General features: G+C 45.7%; 1 long non-coding RNA gene across 1 annotated transcript, besides 1 other annotated feature; it reads left to right on the top strand.

Moving 5' to 3' along the window:
* The first annotated feature begins 841 nt into the window (after positions 1–841).
* Positions 842–6518, top strand: LOC124902792 (uncharacterized). The gene is made up of 2 exons (XR_007062951.1): positions 842–3682; positions 3775–6518. It is a non-coding gene; the product is annotated as an uncharacterized LOC124902792 (long non-coding RNA).
* Positions 13013–13514: an enhancer, noted in NCBI's record as "H3K4me1 hESC enhancer chr11:129593081-129593582 (GRCh37/hg19 assembly coordinates)". NCBI's record gives its function as "activates a minimal SCP1, AML or CMV promoter by ChIP-STARR-seq in primed H9 embryonic stem cells {active_cell/tissue: H9 hESC(primed)}" and the evidence as "EXISTENCE:reporter gene assay evidence [ECO:0000049][PMID:30033119]".

Below are 23326 nucleotides of genomic sequence, written 5' to 3'. Positions count from 1 at the left end.
CCTCAAGTAATAATAGCATTCCATGAAAAAGTGTCTAGTTTAGCTGGCAATTCAAATAATCACACAATCATTTTATCCTCTAGACAGCTGTTGTACTTCAGTACACAGCAAAGTGTTTTGCATGCGGTGTGTAACATTTTTAGAAAGTATGTACTCAAGGACTGAGATTTAATAGAATTTTTTTTACTGTTTCGTGAAGAACATTCTTAAGTGAAACTGATACTTTTGTATTTTAGTTATGAGTGCATGTAAAGGAAGAACACGATGACTACTAGTAAAGTGTATTAGGCCGTTCTTGCATTGCTATAAAGAAATATCGGAGACTGGGTAATTTATAGGAAAAGAGGTTTAATTGGTTCTGCAGGCCGTATGGGAAACTTAGTGCTGGCATCTGCTTCTGGGGAGGCCTCAGGAAGCTTATACTCATGAAGTGGGAGCAGGCATGTCTCATGGCAGAAGCAGGAGCAAGTGAGAGAGAGTGTGGGGGGAGGTGTCCCACACTTTTAAATGACCAGATCTTGCAAAAACTCACCATCATGAAGACAGCACCAAACCATGAGAGATCTGTCTCCATGATCAAAACACTTCCCACCAGTCCCCACCTCCAGCAAGATAATTCAACATGAGATTGGAGTGGGACAAGTATCCAAACTATCATCAGGTTTGCTGCTACAGCCTTGATTTGTGTTAGGCGCCAACAGTTTTACTCATCACTGCTTTTGCCTCATCAGTATAAACACGAACACAGTGAAAAAGACAAATAATGTCTTAGTGTTATTTTGAAAATAGAGTTGACCTTGCAGATCCCTGAAAGAATTTTAGAGATTCCTTAGTGGTCTGTGGATCCCACTTTGAGAAACACGGACTTAGATTACTGAGTGCTCAAAATCCATAAATATTAAGTCTTGACTAAACAGTTGGATTGTTTTAGAGAAAACAGTCTTATAAATTTGGCAGGTGGGAAAGTCTTTTGCCCATGAATAATCATGTCCACACTTCTCATGGTATGAATAACCATTTTGCTACACATTAATATATATTAAATTCACAGTTTCCCTTTATCTTTCTCAAGCCCTAATATTTCTCCATGTTATTGATGATGAAATAGGTTCATCTCATTTCAGACTCAGCAGAAGTGGGGTAGAGCTGTGTTTGATTTCTGAAAAATACTCAATATATCACCCATTTTATTATGTACAATGCCACAAAAATGTCTGTAACTACTTTTCATTTCATATGATTACTAAATGTAAGCAGAATGTACTGGGTGTTTTATTATATAGGTGGTTAAGGCCTGGTAAAAACAACGTTTTGCAACACTACCTCACCTTGCACAATTGTGCGAAAGAGATTCAGGAATAGAGTTCCTGAGTGTTGCCATGAAACAGAGATCACCTTAGGCCTCTGTTTCCTTGGCTGTAAAACAAACTCATTGATGACAATCAGAATTCTTCACCTCTGTTAGAGAAGAAAGACAGCAGATCTGGGTCCATGCCCCAGAGGTGTGACCTGGCCAACCCACTTTGAATTTATGGTGGAGTGGATTTAGAACACCAGGGGTGGCTGGGAAGGACAGGGCACAACAGACTAGTATTCCCACCACCTCTTCTCTTCAGGATCTTACGGACATTGGAGGGCCCTAGACCTGTTCTGACTATGGGTCCCCCGTCAGAAAGCATGAGAGAGATGTTGGTATTTTATGGAAAGCCCATGGGATTTTGAAAGGCCATTCATGTTTCCCAGCAGAACTAGGGCGTCCAATTGAGTTCAGACTTGCTCCATGCAACCATTGTCAGGTCACATGACATCTTTAGGTCTCAGCTTTTCATCTGTAAATGCAGGCCGCTGGGCTAGGGGATGCCTAACACTTCTTCCAGATGCACTGGCACTGAATGCCAGGAAGTCTGGCGATTGAGGGCTGGCACCAGGAAGAGGCCCAGATGATTTTATGAAGGTATTAAATGCCACCTTTAGGGGGTGTGCGAGGCCTCCCCGCAGTCCTGAAAAGTTACGTAGCCAATTCTTCAGCATTTCCAATGTTTCTGGGAATCTGAGTTCTTAGGTGGAATGGAATTTTCTGTCTAGGGAACCAATCTGTGGTGGAGCTAATACAGAGATCAGGAAAAGTGGCCACAGCAGACATTCCACAGGGGAAAGAGCAGAATAGCTAAACTAGTCTAGTGAGATTGAACAAAAGGAGGGTGCCAGGTACGACCCTTAGTTCTAGGCTCACGTAGTCTTTAGTTCTAAGGCTAATCTTAGGGAAGAGTTTTGGGGAGATGGTGGAATGGTGGAGATTCATAGCTGTCTCAAAAATAAGTTTATGTTTTCATTCAGCAAACATTTATTGATCTGGGAATGTGTTGGGTGTTGGTGAAACAAAGAAGACAGACCGGGGTGGGTTCTCAGCCACACGCAAAGCCAGTCATGGCCAAGGACGTTGCCATAGGGTGGGATGAGGGGCATGGCCAGCTACTTTCAGACAGATGAGTATATGTAGTCTAGGGGCCGGAGATGCCCTCTGAAGGCAGCCGCCTAGAAGGGTATGTAGAGGTTAGTGAAGAGAGTTGAAGGCAGCGGGGGGGGAAAGAGGAGGAGGCATGAGTGGGGTGTCGCTGTGCTGGGAGACCTGGAGGGGATGGAGGTGTGGCATCTTGGGAGTTGGGGAGAAGTTGAGTCTGGCTCTTTTGTTGAGTGAGAGATGGAGGATTGGGTAAGAAACAAGGCTAAAGTGGTTGGGAGGGGTTGGATCGTCTTAAGGAGATGGAACTCCTCATGGAAGTTCAGTCTCCATAGAAACCCCTGAAAGGCTTTAAGGGAGGGACCTGGAGGAGCTCTTTCAGCTGAAGTGGTGAATGGATTGCGAGGGAACGTGACTGTAGGCTGGGACAGCTGTTAGAGGTGGTCGTAATCTTCCAGGCGCGAGATGATGTGGACTGAAATGGTGTGGAGACAGTCGGAGGGAACTGCGAGATCATTGGGTGTCAGACTGGGTTTGCAAACCTACGACTTCACTGAGAAGTGAGCAAAATGAGTAACCTGTTCCCCTCAAGCAATACAGATAATGTGGAGAGATACTTGTTTCCACTGGAACTTCCTCCTCCACCGAATCCGACTGCTGTACCTGTGTGGATAGGTAACCTACAGACCGACTGCCCCACCTCAGGAGTCCTGTGTGCTTCACGACTAAAATCCTCTGGCACTTTCAGCCTCATTGAAGAGAGATGAAATCCAGTTGGCTGTAACCAGGGACCTGGAGTAATGTGATGGTGTCTATTACCAGGGAATGGTGGTGAAAGTCTCTGACTCCATTTAAGATGCACTTTCATCTGTGATCTGTTGATTTCTTTTGCAGCCCAGCTGTTTCCACTCAAAATAGTGGCAGAGCAAGTTTGCCACTCAGATTCTTGAATTGGGAGGAGGTGAGTGTTCTTCTCCCAGCAGGAGAACTGGTTTTGTTGCTTCTGGCCTCAGGGGTGGCCCAGAGGCACTCAGAGAACTGGAGACCAGGAGGGGTGTTGTGTCAGAGGGCCAGTGACCAGGATTCTAACAAAGCGTTTTCCACCAGGTGCTGGACATGCTGCTTACCGCATTGCTGGAGTGCAAGATTAGCTGGTCTATGCTCAGAGTGCCTGGGGCCTGAGTTTGCTGGAGATGTGGTCTTAGGATTCTCCGGGGAGGTGTGAGTTCATGTCCTGTAACTCTAGAACTGCCCAGAGCTTGGTGCAGTCACACACTCAGATCTGACCGACTGTCTGTTCTTACCTTTCCCAGGCTCTAGCAAGTTCACAAGGACACCAAGCAATCTCCCAGACTTAGACTGTACACTGGCTGCTCTGGTACTGTTGCTGGAGCCTTCTCCTCTCTCCTCCCCTTCCCAATAGTTCCCACTGCAATAGGTGTAGCAGTGATACAGACAGGAAATGGAGGTGCTGTTGATGCTGCTGCTGCACCCTTAAAATTCTATAGAACTTACAGGGTGTACTCTGGAAAAATGATTGCCATAACCTTATTCATTGACTTATTGGATGAAATATGTACTGAGTGTCTACTAGGTGCCAGGCACTGTAATAGGTTCACGGAATAAATCTGTTAATAAAATAAAGAGCCCTTCTCTTGCGGAGGTTTCATTATAGTGAGAGCTGACAAACAATAAATGTAATATTTTGACTCTTTTGAAGGACTTCACCCCCAAATTTAGCCCAATCCATTCGGGAGGACGCATCCCTCTCTCTTGATGCCAGGTGTGGCCAGGGAGCCAGTGCTTGTCAAGAAATCTAACCTCCTGCTGTTGCAGGGGCGTCTGTTCTTATGACCTGGGTAGAGAGAGAGCAGAGCCAATGAATACGTACAGTGATGTATGTAATATGTGAGAAGGTGAAGGATATGGTAAAAGGGGAAAAACAGAGCAGATTAAGTACACGTTAGACATAGTTCCCGTTTCCAATCATCTGTAAACAGGGCATTTCATTCAAGGCCGTTCGGATCTGGTCCAGACACTGGTGGATCTACGTCTGAGAACGAGGGTAGTCGCCCAGGGCTAGGACACTGCTTGGAAAGGTGGGGAGGCCTCAGCTGAAGTGACGCGTGGCTTCTGTAAGATTAGTGTCCCTTTACGTTCACTTCTCCTGTTAAAAATGTAGGGAGAAGCTTGTGGTTATTCCTCTGAGGGATTGGAATTGTAAATGACTGAGGGACAGAGGTGCTGGAAATTTTTATGCAGGTGAAATGATCAGGCAAAGGGCTAAGCCTGGGCTGTGGCCTCACCTGCTTCAGTCTCGCAGTTGGCTGGGTGGGTTCTGCTCTGCGTTTCCTCCTGACCTTTAGATGCGTGGGATTTCAGGGCTTAGTTCGTTGCCAGTGAAGCAGGAGTCTGGATGCTTACTGAGCCTCTCCCTGTGTTTGCAAATAATTATCATCCGTTCACAGTGGGTGCTGCAATGGTCTCACTTCCTTTAATTAATTTGTTCTGTATTAATTATTGGGGTATTTTGTTTTATGAAGGTGATGACTCACCCAGCCCGGCAGGTTCAGAACTGCCCTGTTGGCATTTGACTGACAAGGGCTTGGTCTCCCAATTCAGCCCAAACCATTCAGGAGGATGCATCATTCTCTCTTGACATCAGGCGTGGCCAGGGTGCTGGTGCTTGCCAGGGAACCTGACCTTCTGGAGCAGAGATGTTGTCAGAGCTGCTGAGTCAGGGAGGTCAGTTCTGTTCATGACCTGTGTGGAGAGCGAACGGAGCCAGCCAATAGAGAAAACCCTGGCGGGCTAGGGGTCGCACAGGAGAGTGGCTTCTGAGGCAACGTGTTAAGTGACCTTGAGACTGGAGGTCCTTCTGCCAGAAGTCTCTGGAACTCAGGTACCCGGAGGGTCCTGAAGTGTCCTTGGGGAATACAGCACAGAGTTCTTTGTGGGACGCGAGGGATATTTCTGCTCGGCTTTTTCTTGGCGTTTTTTCCTTGAGTGCTTTCCTAAAGCTGCTTTTTATCCTTCCAAGTCATTCTCTCTGGTTGTCAGTGCATATTTCTTTCCGGGAGCTTCTGCATTCTTGTTGCAAGTTTATTCTCACTTTCTACTGGAAATCCTCTGAAGCTGAAGGCTGCTGACCCAAAGACCAGTGTGCCGGGCAATGAAACTGTGTGAGGCATTGCTGGATCTCCATGCGGAAGAGATTCCAATATGCGGACCTATCACCTGCATTATTGCCGTCGCCCCCTCATTGCCATTTCCCGACCCATGCACAACTTGGCTCCTCTCCAGTCCATCTTCCAGGGTGATTTTCCAGATCTCAATCTGACTGTGTCACTTGCCTCCTTAAAGCTCTTCAGTGGACACCTGTCACTTACATAACACACCTGGAACCTTGACTTGGCACACAGGTTCTGCCCTATCTTGTCCCTGTGCCTCCCTGCTCCAGGTCAGCTCCCACCACTCTCCTGCGGCTACTCAGTAACAGGGCTATTTGGGGAATGGTTGGAATACAGGATGCATTTCAGCCTCCACACTTTTGCACATTTTGTTAGCTCTCTGGATTATCAGTTTCCAAACTCACCTTCTTGAGCTCCTCATGAACTTGCTCAAAACCTTCTGCCTCTGGGAAGCCTTCCTGTCTCATGCCAGGCCCAATTCCTGCATCCTCGTCCCACGGTACCTTGCGTCCCAGATCCAGCCCCTCGCGGTAACTGTCGTTTGCTGTCCTGCTGGCCCTCACTGTTTGATTATACTCTTCCTGGAGCCGGAGTCTGGACCTTATTTATCCTTAGAATTCCAGGCCTCACAGAGAGATTTGCCTGAAGTAGGAAACGAGTGGATACCTCCTAAAAAATATGAACAAATGAAGGAATGAATAAAGCAAGAATCTCAGTCAATCATTTGTTCCAATGGAGATGTACGTTATCCAAGAACAAAGTTTGTGAATTTTTAAAAGGCTACATCTTCTTCCAAGAAGCATAACATCTTTTTCTCTAATGCAATTGAAATTTCAAAATAAATAAAATATTGTTATTAAACCAAATCAAAGCAATGAGGTTTGAATATGCTGATTCAGTCTACACACACTGTACTCGGTAGGGACTGCGGTCTCCCATCCTGCATCATAGGCCCCTGCCGTGTGGGGCGCCTGCTTAGTCAATTTGCTGAAAGTCAGATGGGTTTTGGTCATTTGGGAATCAGCTTTCTGCAAGGCGGCCCACTGCCCCATCACAGAGTGAGAGCGCCTGGTGTGGGGAAGGTACGGAGTCCGTCTTCTAAGCCAGGCCCTGCTCTGCTTTGCCAGACCTGAAAACCCTGTCCCACAGTCACACGGAAAAGGCGCCTTCAAACTTCTGTAAGCCTAGACTATACAACTCCACCAGCTGGAAGTTATTTCTCTCAATGAACTCAATTCTTCTATGCCATGCTTTACGTCATTTCCCTCCTGTTCTGACTGAGAAGATGGAAGAAAACCTGCCTCATCTTGTGCCCAGTAGGTTGTTTCTTCTGTGAATGAAACCTGCAGCATGAATTTGCTTTTATGGTTGGCCACATCACAACTGAGTGTGTGTATATGTTTGGGCTGGGGTCTAGGATGGGGTTCGGTCTGCCTGGGGGTCATTTTAAATGGTCCAGGTTTGGGAGGAAGGGTTTGGAAGGAAGGAAGGGAGAGCTCTGATGTCAGCATTAATTAAGGGAGTTAAGAGCGTGTGATTTGAAATCTACATGATTGGAGGAAGTACAGACTGTGGGAGAAGGAGATGGGAGGTGGTGTAACTGAGTGTGGGATTCATGAGTTCCTCAGCGGTGAGCCGTGCCCTCCCAGAGGAGGCCACAGCGAGTCTCACTTGTCAGAAGGCAGCTGAGAAGGCTGTGTCTGAAGCAGAACTCCAGGTTCTGAGAATCTAGGGGAGGAGCTAGGGACCAGTGGATATGAGTGGATCTGTCTTCCCACCTGGCAGGAAGTCCTCATTCAGCCAGAGAAGTTCTGCGTCAGGCTGGGTTTGGAGGTATGATTTGGGTTCTTCCAGAGTGGATCTTATATCACATGCTGTTCATTTTCTAGAAAATTCTCTAGCCCAGGTTAGATATTATGTGTCTGGCCCTTCCATGATCTTCCCTCCATCCCCACCAGTGTCCTCTAAGGAGTCCTAGTCTCTAAAGGATCTTGTACCCCCTTCTCTCACTTTCCCCATTTGCCTGACTTTCTCCAGCTTGCTGCCCTCAGAGGACTGATTGGGGATCAGAACAAAGTAGGAGGAGCCAGGACTCCTGGGTCCGGCTGCTGGCTTGGCTGGGCCTTGCTTTCTTCCTTCTGCGACGTGGGCAGCTTGCTGTTTCACCTCCCTTGAGCTGCCCAGTTAATGATTACTGAGTTCCCAGGGAGTGCAATGCCCTGCAGCTTTCCAGGATGCAAATTGGTAATTTTTACTTTTTGCCAAGCCTCCTACATCAGCTCCAGTTTCATAACCCCAGTCACCCTTCCCCGTCCCTCCCTTGCTGCACGTACTGACCCCTCCCCTCTAGCCCAGATGCACACCTGCAGGAAAAATTGGCACGGACTCCTTCCCATCTGTCACCACTTCAAATAGCTTGAGTGTGCTGATGACAGATAAAGTAATTGCAGAGCATACGAATGACTTAATATTTGATGTGTTAAAATAATTTTTTAATGCCATGCATTTGTATAATTTATAGCTGGAATCCATGGTTTTTGTCTTGCTTCCCCTTCTCACCTGGCTGCTTCTCCATGAGAATGGTGGAGCATTCACCCCCAGCCCTGGTTTTTGCTTCGTGGGTTTACAGGGAGAAATGGGCAGCATTCTGCAGTATTCACAATGACTGTTGATTCCTGAATCTCCAGGGCCTGTTCCATTGTGAGCCTGTTAAGGTACTTAAAAATAATTTGATGAATGAATTATTAAGGAGCAATTTGGGATTCATCTATCAAGTATTTACGGAGGGCTAGTGTCTGCCAAACTCCATCCTAGGTAGTAGAACACAGCAATGAGCAAGACAGACCAGGCCCGTGCCCTCAAGAGGTTTAGGGTTTGGTGGGAAAAACTAGCATTAAGTGAGTTGAGACGAGAAGGGTGGAAAGATTTGAATCAGGAGAGTGACATAATTAGATTTTTCTATGAAAAGATTCTAGTAGATTGCTGGGACCATCACTAGAGGTGGTCTACCATCTGCTAGAGCTTAGCTGGGCTCAGATTTTGGCTTGGGGAGGGGGACAAGAAAGACAATAGAAGAAATAGGGCCACTCTTTGCAAAGTACTTTCAAACAACGGAGAATGTTCGTAACGTGCAATCTTTGCCCCCTTCCTCCTTACTTCTTTTATTTACATGCCTTGTCACCTATGGATGTGTGTGGCCTTGGACATACAGTGAAGGACAGAAGAGAAGAATGTGACCCCAAAAGGGATGTACGAGGTGTTAGTTCCCCCTCTGTGTGGTGTCCCATCCCACCCCCTTTCCTAGTCTGAGGTCCCCCCTTTGTAGGATTTCCAAAGCTGCTATGGGGTATTATTCATACCATGGAAGTCAAGGAAATGCTAAGGTAAGGCTTTCATTTTTCCTGGAGAGCTGTTTGTTAAGCCTTTCCCAGCACACCACTGCCTACCACTCCTTTGTGAAGTTAGCAGGTTAGCAGCCTAAAGCTCGGATAGTGAGGGACTTCTGTTTTAGCCTTAGCGCTGAGGTGGCGAATTCCTTTCTAACTGAGGCCTGTAATTTCTCCCCGTCTCAGCATGGCTGGTTTTGAACTTGTCTCTTTTGAACTTGTTTGCTTTTGAACTTGAGTTTGAGTTGGTTGTTCTTTTCCTACTCCCTCAGCTTTCTAGGGTGTTGCTGATGGTGAAGGGAACACTCAAAAAGGTGCTGGACTGTGGGGAGGAAGTGCCTCCCCCTGCCCTCCATCCCCATGTGAGCCGGCATTCCCCTCTTCCAATAGTGGAAACCCTCCTGTGCAGGCCACTACCCATCCTTCCTCCGATTCCTTCTCCATTGCCCACTTAGGATGCTTACTTATTGGAACAGAGAGGTGGGGAAAGTAAAACTGGTCAGTTTTGGTCCTTAGTTACAACTCTGGAATATGGACAATAGATTATGTCATCAGCTTCGTGTGATGCAAGTGTTCTGGACATGGAAGTAGGGGACCTGGGCTGGAGTCCACACTTTACCACTTACCAGCCATGTGATCTAATGTCTTTGAAGTTCAGTCTTCCTTATCGGTCAGGGGGATGGTGATGATACCTCACACACGAGGTTATTCTAAGGATGGTGCATGGGAGCTCAGCTATGTGTGTCAAATGTTTTTCCTTAGATATTTTCTTGATCTAAAGGGACTTTTTAATGCATGAAGTTCACATGTTTACTCTGAAGAGGTGATGGAGAGTCAGTCACGAGGACACACAATCCTAAAGTTGCTCACACTGACCCAAAAACAATGCCAAGGTCACTATACAAGCGTCTGCCTTGGCCATGGCCCCAGGAGAGTTGGCCATTCAAAGCAAGAGCCCGTCTCATGGCCTCTGAAAAAGTTTTGAGGAGGAAGATGATGCAGGACTGGATGGAAGTTTTAAAAATGCCGCCAGATGAGGTTGGCATGGTAGAACTGTGGGTTTCTCTTTTCCTCTGTTTGTATACTCAGTGATAGTATAATAATATAACCTGCACAGCAGGGCCCTCTGTTTTACAGGAGCTCACTCTTTACCAGCTTCTGGTGGGAAGCAGGGAGGAGGAAGTGGAAAGAGCCTTACAGCTCACAAGCTAAAGGAGATATCTCAGGCTTGTAATCATCATCATCATCACCGTCACCGTCATCATCACCGTCACCGTCATCATCACCACCATCATCATCACCACCGTCACCATCATCATCATTGTCATCATCATCATCATCATCATCATCATCACCATCGTCATCATCATCTCTGCCACAGGGGAGGGGCTGGTATTTGCTAAGGTGGGGTATTACCTCTTTGTCCCCAAAACCACTATACCTGTCTTCCCCAGATCAAGCACATCTTTTTATAAGGGTCCCGGGAGCATTGAAATGCAGCACATCATCAGGGAACCATGACAGGTGATGCTATTTAGCTCATGCCTCACCTTTTGCCACCCAGTGGTGGGTAGAGGAAGAAGGGATGCGACAAGACCTTAGCACTCAGGGTTTTGCAAAGGGTCCCATGAAAAAATCTCTTCACTGCTGTCATTCCTGACATCTCTCCAGTCCCTTGTCATGTGGCTCCACAGTCCCTTCCTAAGACCATCATTTTTCACTTGGGACACCGATCCCCATGTGATAAGGTGCCTCCTTGAATCTTCTAGAGCCTGTCACCTCCATCGTCAGTTGGATGACAGTGGAGTCCTCTTCTACCTAAGCTCTGTAAGGCTCAGAGGGGAGCAATGGGTGGGCAGGAGGATGGTGGGTATTGCATCCTCTGGTTGGTAGTTTTGCAAGGGAGATGTGCTTTTACCATAGCCAACTAGAGCCAAACTAGTCATGAGAAATGTAGATTCTGCTATGGGCTAATCCAATGGAAGGTTTGAGTTAGTGGTGGTTGAGATAAAAGGGATTATAGAAGTGGAAGGCTGGATAATTCAGCCCCTTACCTCCTTAAAAGCTCTCTACCTCCTCCTTAATCTCACTTCCGACGTACAAACATCAGGGTATTGAGCCAAGAAATTCATAGAAAACACAAAGGGCCAAGAACAGATGAAAATACACCTAACCTCACTTAATAACAAAAATGCAAATTCAAATGAGACAACAAGAATTCCAGGAAACTAACCTATGGAAAAAAATAAGTACAAAAAGATGTATACATGAGGACATTTATTGCAATGTTGTTTGTAGTAGGGAATAACTGGCAACAAATATACATGAATAAGTGAATGATTAAATATATTATGGGGCTGGGAGCAGTGGCTCATGCCTGTAATCCCAGCACTTTGGGAGGCTGAGGCCGGCAGATTGTTTGAAGCCAGGAGTTTGAGACCAGCCTGGGCAGCGTAGCAAAACCCTGTCTCTACAAAAAATACAAAAGTTAGAGGTTGCTGTGAGCTGTGGTCATGTCACTGCATTTCAACCTGGGCAACAGCAGTATCTGTCTCAAAAAAATGTATTATGAGTCATCTATGTAATGAATACTATAGTAGGCATTAAAACAATAGGTTGGCTTTAAATTTCCCGAGGAAAAAAAATGTACTTGCGACATTAAAAAACAAGATGCAGAACAATTTGTATGTTTCCGTTTGTGCAAAAGAATTCTCTGTGGAGTCTGTGTGTAAAAAAGAGTGGATGGATACATACCTAACTTAGGATGCATCTCAGAAGTGAGATTAAGTAGGAGGACATAGGGGAGCTATAATTTTTACTTTGTACATGGTTTATTATTTGAACTTTTGTAATAAAAAATCCTAAAAGAGATATTTAGCAAACAGAATATGTAACTAACTCTATCTTGCTACTGTTCTCTAAGAGCTGGCAAGTGCAGACTTTCACACACCTCTCAGAACATGGTCAGGCAGGGATCGGTTGAGTGCAGTGGTGTGCTGCAGGCTGACATCTGGACCTGGTTCTTCTCCCTGGAGTGGGGAAAAATCATATGAGGACAGTACAGGTTGTGTAGGTCCTGGGGGAAACTCCTGTCTCTCAAGAAAAAGCCTGATATCAGGTGGGCAGACCTCTATGGCAGCCACACTGGGATGATCCAATGTGGGATTCAGGGGATCGGTCTATCAGCAGGGGCTGTGTTATTCCAAGACCTGGGAAAGCAGGCAGGCAGCAACTGGAAGCTTGTCAAGATGTCGTGGAGCCATCTGGACTACTGTCAAGATGTCACAGTGACAAAGATGATACATGTACCGGTGCTTATACATGTTTACAGAAAGAATGAGAGAGGAATCTGGAAAGAAAGAGCAAGACAAGATGCCAGTGCATGAGAAATCAGGATTCCCTAGAGGCATCCACAGGTTGTTGAGGTATGGAGACATATACAGAGCCAGTCACCAGCAGCACAAACACACAGCAGGTGGCAGGACCCCGGCAGGCTGATCTCAACAGTGACTGGTATTGAGGGTAACGGTGTTTGCGGCCAGTGTGTACGAGTGCACTCCAGGGGTGTCTAGGCGCCTAGGAGGGACAGCCAGATGGCCCCAGCTGCAGAGAAGCAAGGCTGGAGATTCTGGGCAGGAGGCTGCAGCCTGGAATGGAAACTGGCTCCCGGCGCCTTCCTCTTTAAGTCTGCAAGAACCCTAGTCCAGATGGACCCCTTCTGAGCTGTGTGTGCGTGAGGTCTGGCCCCTTGCTGTTTGCAGACAAGCTGCTGGGCAAGGCCTGGCCATTGAAGCGCTGCCTGCCGGCTCCAGGAGGTGGACATCACATGCGTCCATGTGGCGGGGCAGCCTGGTCTCTGTGGGCTGCCAAGGCTGCCACTCTGCTGCCCTCTGTTCATGGCTCCTAAGCACGAACCTGCAGGAGACAACTGAGTGGAAAGTCAACATAACAATCTGGCATTTCTCCCCCTGGCATCCTGACTGCCTCTGCACTGTGGGAAGCCTTGTCATGGGATGGGAAGGAGATGGGACAGGGTCCAGAGATTCCTTCAGGAGCAGGCCCTCCTCACCGGTGCTCCCCGACCAGGCCAGCCCTGGCTGGAGCTGCTCTACAGTGTCCTGCCCGGCAAGTGCTGGCAACTCCCTGGGTGGGGAGGGAGGTGTTGGGGCTGCAGGGACAGTGGCTTCTCCGTGGGTGAGTCCCCTTTATGCTTCACCTCTCCTCTGCGACAGCTGGTCTCCTCTCCCACCACACAGAGCTGCAGAAGAAGCTAGGAGAGGGCACTGGGGAGGGAGCTGCGTCCTGGCCTGGCCCTTGCCACCTGTGTGGGCCTGGGCAGGTCATGAACCTCTCTAAGCCTCACACTGCACACTTGTAAGATGCTGGCTATCAGCCTGTCTGCCTCGCAGGGCCGCCGTGAGATGGGAGCAGCGCCGGGGAATGTGGATTGAGTGCCTCTGAGGTCCCAAGCACTGGGGCCCCACGTACCTGTTTGGTTTTGTTCATGGTTTTCATCACTATGCAACATACAACCCAGCATGCTTATTTATTATCTCGATTACCCATCTCCCTCTCTAGAAAAAAAGTTTCATGAAGAGAAAGCTTTTGGCATCATTTGTTCACCATGTTTAGAGCAGTGCCTGGCTCGTCGGAGAGGCTCAAAATCACTGGTAGAGCAATGAATGAATGGATATCCCACTGAGTCCTTGCTGAGATGATCCAAGGTAGAGATGGGAGCATGGGCTGTAGGAGGAGGATCATGGCTGTGAATGCACAGAGGAGCATGCAGTGGTCCTGGCATTGAAACTGACTGTTTAACCCTGAAGTCTGCCCTATTCAGTGCTCTAAACAAAACGGTGTCCATGAAAGTGCTGCTACGCTATAAAGCGCTGTATGCCCATAAGCTGTTAGAAGAATTGCACCTTCCCTTGCCTGATGATCTGAACATAAACTTCCTGTTTGTGCAGTGTCTTGCAGTCTCCGCCCTCAGCCTTCACACTTGCCTGGTTTTAGGTAGCACGGACAATTCTCAGCTTTTTGCTGGTCCTCATGTTGTATATTATCCATAGCCAATATCTGTAATCCAAGGCTGATTTTCCTGGACCACCCTGCACGTTCACTGCCATCTCTCTCCTGTCAGCTGGTGGAGAGTGTGCTCCTGAGGTTAGCACAGCTTTTTGTGACCAGTTCAAGCCTAACTGTTGCAGAGTGGAGGTCCTGTAAGAGACACACTGAATTCCTGGGGTCAGAGTGTGCAGTTATCTGCTGGTAAAATGGACTCCCACTCCTCTCCTCCTCAGCCTTGGTGCCTGAGAATCAGGTGGAAAATCTCGACAGTGTTTTTTTTTAAATTATTTATTTATTTTTTATTTTTTGAGACAGAGTTTCCCTATTGTTGCACAGGCTGGAGTGCAATGGCACAATCTCAGCTCACTGCAACCTGTGCCTCCTGGGTTTAAGCGATTGTCTTGTCTCGGCCTCCTGAGTAGCTGGAATTACAGGCATGCACCACCATGCCCGGCTAATTTTTTGTGTTTTTAGTAGAGACTGGGTTTCACCCTGTTGGCCAGGCTGGTCTCGAACTCCTGGCCTCAGGTGATCCACCTGCCTCGGCCTCCCAAAGTACTGGGATTACAGGCGTGAGCCACTGTGCCCAGTCGACAGCAGTTTTACATCGAATAGGCACTCACAGGTTCTCTGCTTCTGTCCTGTTATGAACGTCCCCTTTGGTCTGGCCCTGCACTGCATCTCTACATCCTCACTCGGACTCGACTCCACGCCTTTCTGCTCTGCTGTCCCTTTTCTGTCTCTCGCTCTCTCTCTGTTGCACACATAGGCCAGGGCTTAGCTATGACGCTTGTGCTCAGGAACCAGTGGGGTAGTGTGGGGAGGGAGAAAAGCCAGACAGCGCAACTCTCCCTGTCACCCTCCCATCCAGAATTCCACGCTCAGCTGCCTGTCTCCTGCTGATCTTGAGAAAGACCCTCTGGAAGGCTGTGCTCCTTTGGTGGTCAGAGAACAAGGCTTTCCCCCTACAGCTGAAGAATCTGAGCGGAGGGGGAAGGGTGGTGTAGAAGAAGAGTTTTCTGCCCTCGTGTCAGGGAGAGGGTGGCTTCCTGATGTCTTCCAGGGAGCAGGTGTTCGTCCAGGCAGTCCCCAGGGGATCCTCAACAGTGGAAACAAAGGGGCAGGTGGGAGAAGGAAAGGCGTGGGCTTTGGAGTCAGATCGGCTCTAAACTCGGACTCCACCCTTTCTTGGGTGTTCACTGTTGGTCACGTAATATCTCTGAGCCTCAGTATCTCCCTCTATAGAATTTCAGCTCTCAGGGTGGCTGTGAGGATCGGATGAGATGGCTTCTGAAGTACCCTATAAATGAAGTGCATTCATATTTGTCATTCTAACTGTGACAAAGTGGAGACGAGTTAATGTACCAGTATTTCCCTTAGAGAAAGCTGATTTGTTGGGGAAATACTTTGCTCTGTGCTTCGGAACATAAGCGGAAAGTTTAGGAGGGCCTGGACGTGGGCGGAATTGCCCGACATGGCAAGGGGAGGGGCTTGTGCTCAGTTCTGCGGGTTTCGGGGAGAGGAAAAATGAGAGGGGAAGGGTGTGAGGTGCGTGAAGTGACCACAGCCCCTGGCCACCTCCCCATATTCAGTTTCTCTGAATTTACAAGGTGCTTGCATGTGAGTTTTTCATAGTAATCGGGGGTTGGGGTGACATTTGGATCAGTGTGGGGCAGCATGGAGGTAGATGCACAAATGAACTACCGGGAGGTGGGAGAGTCATAAGTGGGTAAGCAGCAGAATTCACAGATGTTGTAAGGAGGACTTTGGATGCTCATGGGGCAAGAAATTGGGGCTCAGTCCAAGTGAGGACGTAGAGATGCAGTGCAGGGCCAGACCAAAGGGGACATTCATAACAGGACGGAAGCAGAGATCAGATCAGGTTTATCTGGGCGTTTGTGGACTAGGAAGTTACAATGGACATCTTGTAACTTTCTAGGCTATCATCGCCATTGTCGTCATCATCTTCTTCCTCATCCCTGTTTAATGGGGAGAGAGAAACAGGTTCAAGTGCAGTGCTTTGCTCAGTCAAGGTCACATGGCACCAATGGTGACAAGACTGGTTTTAAATTCCCCGTTGCCTGTCTCCAGCCTATGGCTGTTCCCTCTGAGCCAGACCACCTGTCCATCATAAAGGACATGCAGTCTCAGGTAACAAGTGAGGAAACTAATCTCTTAGGAGTTGCACAATCTGCCCAAGTCTAGACCTGGGCTTAATGCAGGGTGCTGAGGACAGGCAGGGGATGCCTGCAGGAGGAGGCCGCTGGCTGGGCCTGCAGGGCTGAGGGGAGCTGTTTTCCTTTTGGGCAAATTGCTTCACGTATGGGGATGATCACCCCTCCTAATCCTGTCTGCTAACTGTACTAAGGCTTCCTCTCTGCCAGGGGATTGAGGGCTGAGGTGACAGGACTGGGCACAGGACCCGGGAGTGCTCCCTGCACCCCCTGCTTTGATGCCCTGGCTGCACCTGCTTTATTCTTGTGGAGCCCGGTTTCATTTGGTCACCCTTCAAAGCACAGTCTCACACAAAAAGGCCAAATTTAGCTTTAATCAAATAACTACTGAACATGAAATCTTCGAAGGATCATTACCAACTCTGATTTATTGATGACTAGGAAGGAAGGTCTAGGAAGAGAGTGATCGGTTACATCATTGAACGCTCATGGAGGGTTTAAAAGCTAATCCTGTGTGTGTACATCTTTTTTTTTTATTTCAGAAAGCTTAATACCTGTGTCAGATGTCCTCTTGGAAGCCATGGAAACCCTGTTGGCTATGCAGACAAAGAGGCTGGCCCCAGGAAGGTTGTAGGACAGCAGGGCTGGGATCTTTCCATACCTTCTAGATCAGTATTTCTCTATCTCAGTTACACTGTCAAATGGTCACCAGCTCAATTCTTCACCTAAGACAAGAGAAATGAGGAAAGGTGAGGAAGAAAAGGGAACTAGGAGATTCCCCCAAACAGCTCTCTTTAAAAGGAGGTGAACGACAGAGGCGGAAAGGATAGGGTGGCAGGGTCTTTCTGACGTACTGTTTCAGAGCTTGGGAGATCTATTGTAGCACCAGTACATTGATAGGGGTGGCTCAGTGATTGCCAAATACCCACCTGCCACTGTTGGCATCCTTGTCATTAAGACAGAAATTAGCCCAGTTCAACCTGGGTTCTGTGTGGGAAGCTGCTTACATGGTTTCCCTACTCTGGGTCTGAGGACATCCACCCTTCATCAAGTACTGGTCATCCTGTCTAAAGATACCTAGAAAAGTTCTTCAATTCACTACATTAAGAAGATTCCAGGAGGGTTTGTGGAGAATGACAGCCCACTCTCTGTGCTGAGCATTTGCGTAGGCAGTGGTGAGCTGGGGCGGCTCACACCCACTCATGAGAGCCAACTGGGAACATCTCTGCCGAACTCTGCATCAGTGACCTCACTGTGGTTGCTTGAAATTGGCCATGGTGGGAGTTTTAAAAATTTATGTATATTTTTCCAGCTTTATTGAGGTATAATTGACAATACATATATATGTATGTAATATATACATATATAATTGACATCTACATATATAATTGACATATATATACAAATAAAAATTGTATATATTTAAGGTGTGTAATGTAATGATTTGATATAAGTATACATTGTAAAATGATTACCACAATCAAGCTAATTAACCCATCCATCACCATTATAGCAACTATTTTTCTTTGTAATGGAAATACAATACTTAAGATCTACTCTTTTAGTGAATTTCAAGTATACAATACATTATTATTGACTATAGGATAGTCACCATGCTGTCAGGATGGTGACTCCGGAACTTATTCATTTTTTAACTGCAAGTGTGTACACTTTGACCAACATCTTCCCAGTTTCCCCAAGCCCCAGCCCTTTCCCTGTTCTCTTGTCTGTGCCTATGAGTTTGGCTTTTTTAAAAAATTTATTATACTTTAAGTTTTAGGGTACATGTGCACAACGTGCAGGTTTGTTACATATGTATACATGTGCCATGTTGGTGTGCTGCACCCATTAACTCATCATTTAACGGTAGGTATATCTCCTAATGCTATCCCTCCCCTGTCCCCCAACCCCACAACAGGCTCTGGTGTGTGATGTTCCCCTTCCTGTGTCCATGTGTTCTCATTGTTCAATTCCCACCTATGAGTGAGAACATGCGGTGTTTGGTTTTTTGTCCTTGCGATAGTTTGCTGAGAATGATGGTTTCCAGCTTCATCCGTTTCCCTACAAAGGACATGAACTCATCCTTTTTTATGGCTGCATAGTATTCCGTGGTATATATGTGCCACATTTTCTTAATTCAGTCTATCATTGTTGGACATTTGGCTTGGTTCCAAGTCTTTGCTGTTGTGAATAGTGCCACAATAAACATACGTGTGCATGTGTCTTTATAGCAGCATGATTTATAATCCTTTGGGTATATACCCAGTAATGGGGTTGCTGGGTCAAATAGTATTTCTAGTTCTAGATCCCTGAGGAATCGCCACACTGACTTCCACAATGGTTGAACTAGTTTACAGTCCCACCAACAGTGTAAAAGTGTTCGTATTTCTCCACATCCTCTCCAGCACCTGTTGTTTCCTGACTTTTTAATGACTGTCATTCTAACTGGTGTGAGATGCTATCTCATTGTGGTTTTGATTTGCATTTCTCTGATGGCCAGTGATGATGAGCATTTTTTCATGTGTCTTTTGGCTGCATAAATGTCTTCTTTTGAGAAGTGTCTGTTCATATCCTTCGCCCACTTGTTGATGGGGTTGTTTTTTTCTTGTAAATTTGTTTGAGTTCATTGTAGATTCTGGATATTAGCCCTTTGTCAGATAAGTAGATTGCACAAATTTTCTCCCATTCTGTAGGTTGCCTGTTCACTCTGATGATAGTTTCTTTTGCTGTGCAGAAGCTCTTTAGTTTAATTAGATCCCATTTGTCAATTTTGGCTTTTGTTGCCATTGCTTTCGGTGTTTTAGACATGAAGTCCTTGCCCATGCCTATGTCCTGAATGATATTGCCTAGGTTTTCTTCTAGGGTTTTTATGGTTTTAGGTCTTACATTTAAGTCTTTAATCCTCTTGAATTAATTTTTGTATAAAGTGTAAGGAAGGAATCCAGTTTCAGCTTTCTACATATGGCTAGCCAGTTTTCCCAGGACCATTTATTAAATAGAGAATCCTTTGCCCATTTCTTGTTTTTGTCAGGTTTGTCAAAGATCAGATGGTTGTAGATATGTGGCATTATTTCTGAGGGCTCTGTTCTGTTCCATTGATCTGTATCTCTGTTTTGGTACCAGTACCATGCTGTTTTGGTTACTGTAGCCTTGTAGTATAGTTTGAAGTCAGGTAGCACGATGCCTCCAGCTTTGTTCTTTTGGCTTAGGATTGACTTGGCAATGTGGGCTCTTTTTTGGTTGCATATGAACTTTAAAGTAGTTTTTTCCAATTCTGTGAAGAAAGTCATTGGTAGCTTGATGGGGATGGCATTGAATCTATAAATCACCTTGGGCAGTATGGCCATTTTCACGATATTGATTCTTCCTACCCATGAGCATGGAATGTTCTTCCATTTGTTTGTATCCTCTTTTATTTCATTGAGCAGTGGTTTGTAGTTCTCCTTGAAGAGGTCCTTCACATCCCTTGTCAGTTGGATTCCTAGGTATTTTATTCTCTTTGAAGCAATTGTGAATGGGAGTTCACTCATGATTTGGCTGTTTGTCTGTTATTGGTGTATAAGAATGCTTGTGATTTTTGCACATTGTTTTTGTATCCTGAGACTTTGCTGAAGTTGCCTATCAGCTTAAGGAGATTTTGGGCTGAGACGATGGGGTTTTCTAGATATACAATCATGTCATCTGCAAACAGGGACAATTTGACTTCCTCTTTTCCTAATTGAATACCCTTTATTTCTTTCTCCTGCCTGATTGTCCTGGCCAGAACTTCCAACACTATGTTGAATAGGAGTGGTGAGAGAGGGCCTCCCTGTCTTGTGCCCGTTTTCAAAGGGAATGCTTCCAGTTTTTGCCCATTCAACATGATATTGGCTGTGGGTTTGTCATAGATAGCTCTTATTATTTTGAGATACGTCCCATCGATACCTAATTTATTGAGAGTTTTTAGCATGAAGGGCTGTTGAATTTTGTCAAAGGCCTTTTCTGCATCTATTGAGATAATCATATGATTTTTGCTGTTGGTTGTGTTTATATGCCGGATTACGTTTACTGATTTTCATATGTTGAACCAGCCTTGCATCTCAGGGATGAAGCCCGCTTGATCATGGGGGATAAGCTTTTTGATGTGCTGCTGGATTTGGTTTGCCAGTATTTTATTGAGGATTTTCACATCGATGTTCATCAGGGATATTGGTCTAAAATTCTCTTTTTTTGTTGTGTCTCTGCCAGGCGTTGGTATCGGGATGATGCTGGCCTCATAAAATGAGTTAGGGAGGATTCCCTCTTTTTCTGTTGATTGCAATAATTTCAGAAGGAATGGTACCAGCTCCTCCTTGTACCTCTGGTAGAATTCGGCTGTGAATCTATCTGGTCCTGGACTTTTTTGGTTGGTAAGCTATTAATTATTGCCTCAATTTCAGCTCCTGTTATTGGTCTATTCAGAGATTCAACTTCTTCCTGGTTTAGTCTTGGGAGGGTGTATGTGTCGAGGAATTTATCCATTTCTTCCAGATTTTCTAGTTTATTTGTATAGAGGTGTTTACAGTATTCTCTGATGGTAGTTAGTATTTCTGTGGGATTGGTGGTGATATCCCCTTTATCATTTTTTATTGCATCTATTTGATTCTTCTCTCTTTTCTTCTGTATTAGTCTTGCTAGCGGTCTATCAATTTTGTTGATCTTTTCAAAAAACCAGCTCCTGGATTCATTGATTTTTTGAAGGGTTTTTTGTGTCTCCATTTCCTTCAGTTCTGCTCTGATCTTATTATTTCTTGCCTTCTGCTAGCTTTTGAATGTGTTTGCTCTTGCTTCTCTAGTTCTTTTAATTGTGATGTTAGGGTGTCAATTTTAGATCTTTCCTGCTTTCTTTTGAGGGCATTTAGTGCTGTAAATTTCCCTCTACACACTGCTTTGAATGTGTCCCAGAGGTTCTGGTATGTTGTGTCTTTGTGCTCATTGGTTTCAAAGAATATCTTTATTTCTGCCTTCATTTCGTTATGTACCTAGTAGTCATTCAGGAGCAGGTTGTTCAGTTTCCATGTAGTTGAGCGGTTTTGAGTTAGTTTCTTAATCCTGAGTTCTAGTTTGATTGCACTGTGGTCTGAGAGACAGTTTGTTATAATTTCTGGTCTTTTTACAGTTGCCGAGGAGTGCTTTACTTCCAACTACGTGGTCAGTTTTGGAATAGGTGTGGTGTGGTGCTGAAAAGAATGTATATTCTGTTGATTTGGGGTGGAGAGTTCTGTAGATGTCTATTAGGTCCGCTTGGTGCAGGGCTGAGTTCAATTCCTGGATATCCTTTTTAACTTTCTGTCTCGTTGATCTGTCTAATGTTGACAGTGGGGTGTTAAAGTCTCCGGTTATTATTGTGTGGGAGTCTGAGACTCTTTGTAGCTCTCTTAGGACTTGCTTTATGAATCTGGGTGCTCCTGTATTGGGTGCATATATAGTTAGGATAGTTAGCTCTTCTTGTTGAATTGATCCCTTTACCATTATGTAATGGCCTTCTTTGTCTCTTTTGATCTTTGTTGGTTTAAAGTCTGTTTTATCTGAGACTAGGATTGCAACCCCTGCCTTTTTTTGTTTTCCATTTGCTTAGTAGATCTTCCTCCATCCCTTCATTTTGAGCCCACTTGTGCCTCTGCACATGAGATGGGTTTCCTGAATACAGCACACTGGTGGGTCTTGACTCTTTATCCAATTTGCCAGTCTGTGTCTTTTAATTGGAGCATTTAGCCCATTTACATTTAAGGTTAATATTGTTATGTGTGAATTTGATCCTGTCATTATGATGTTAGCTGGTTATTTTGCTCGTTAGTTGATGCAGTTTATTCCTAGCCTCAATGGTCTTTACAATTTGGCATGTTTTTGCTGTGGCTGGTACCAGTTGTTCCTTTCCGTGTTTAGTGCTTCCTTCATGAGCTCTTTTAGGGCAGGCCTGGTGGTGACAAAATCTCTCAGCATTTGCTTTTCTGTAAAGTATTTTATTTCTCCTTCACTTATGAAGCTTAGTTTGGCTGGATATGAAATTCTGGGTTGAAAATTCTTTTCTTTAAGAATGTTGAATATTGGCCCCCACTCTCTTCTGGCTTGTAGAGTTTCTGCCAAGAGATCAGCTGTTAGTCTGATGGGCTTCCCTTTGTGGGTAACCTGACCTTTGTCTCTGGCTGCCCTTAACATTTTTTCCTTCATTTCAGCTTTGGTGAATCTGACAATTATGTGTCTTGGAGTTGCTCTTCTCAAGGAGTATCTTTGTGGTGTTCTCTGTATTTCCTGAATTGGAATGTTGGCCTGCCTTGCTAGTTTGGGGAAGTTTTCCTGGATAATATGTTGCAGAGTGTTTTCCAACTTGGTTCCATTCTCCCTGTCACCAATCAGATGTAGATTTGGTCTTTTCACATAGTCCCATATTTCTTGGAGGCTTTGTTCATTTCTTTTTATTCTTTTTTCTCTAAACTTCTCTTCTCACTTTATTTCATTCATTTGATCTTCCATCACTGATACCCTTTCTTCCAGTTGATCGCATCGGCTACTGAGGCTTGTGCATTTGTCACGTAGTTCTCGTGCTTTGGTTTTCAGCTCCATCAGGTCCTTTAAGGACTTCTCTGCATTGGTTATTCTAGTTAGCCATTCGTCTAATTTTTTTCAAGGTTTTTAACTTCTTTGCCATGGGTTCGAACTTCCTCCTTTAGCTTGGAGTAGTTTGATCATCTGAAGCCTTCTTCTCTCAACTTGTCAAAGTCATTTTCTGTCCAGCTTTGTTCCGTTGCTGGTGAGGAGCTGCATTCCTTTGGAGGAGGAGAGGTGCTCTGATTTTTAGAGTTTCCAGTTTTTCTGCTCTTTTGTTCCCCCATCTTTGTGGTTTTATCTACCTTTGGTCTTTGATGATGGTGATGTACAGATGGGGTTTTGGTGTGGATGTCCTTTCTGTTTGTTAGTTTTCCTTCTAACAGTCAGGACCCTCAGCTGCAGGTCTGTTGGAGTTTGCTGGAGGTCCACTCCAGACCCTGTTTGCCCGGGTATCAGCAGTGGAAGCTGCAGAATGCGGAT

The sequence above is a fragment of the Homo sapiens genome, chromosome 11, assembly GCF_000001405.40.
Source record: "Homo sapiens chromosome 11, GRCh38.p14 Primary Assembly".
Lineage (NCBI taxonomy): Eukaryota > Metazoa > Chordata > Mammalia > Primates > Hominidae > Homo > Homo sapiens.
This window is presented reverse-complemented; position numbering and strand designations above follow the sequence as displayed.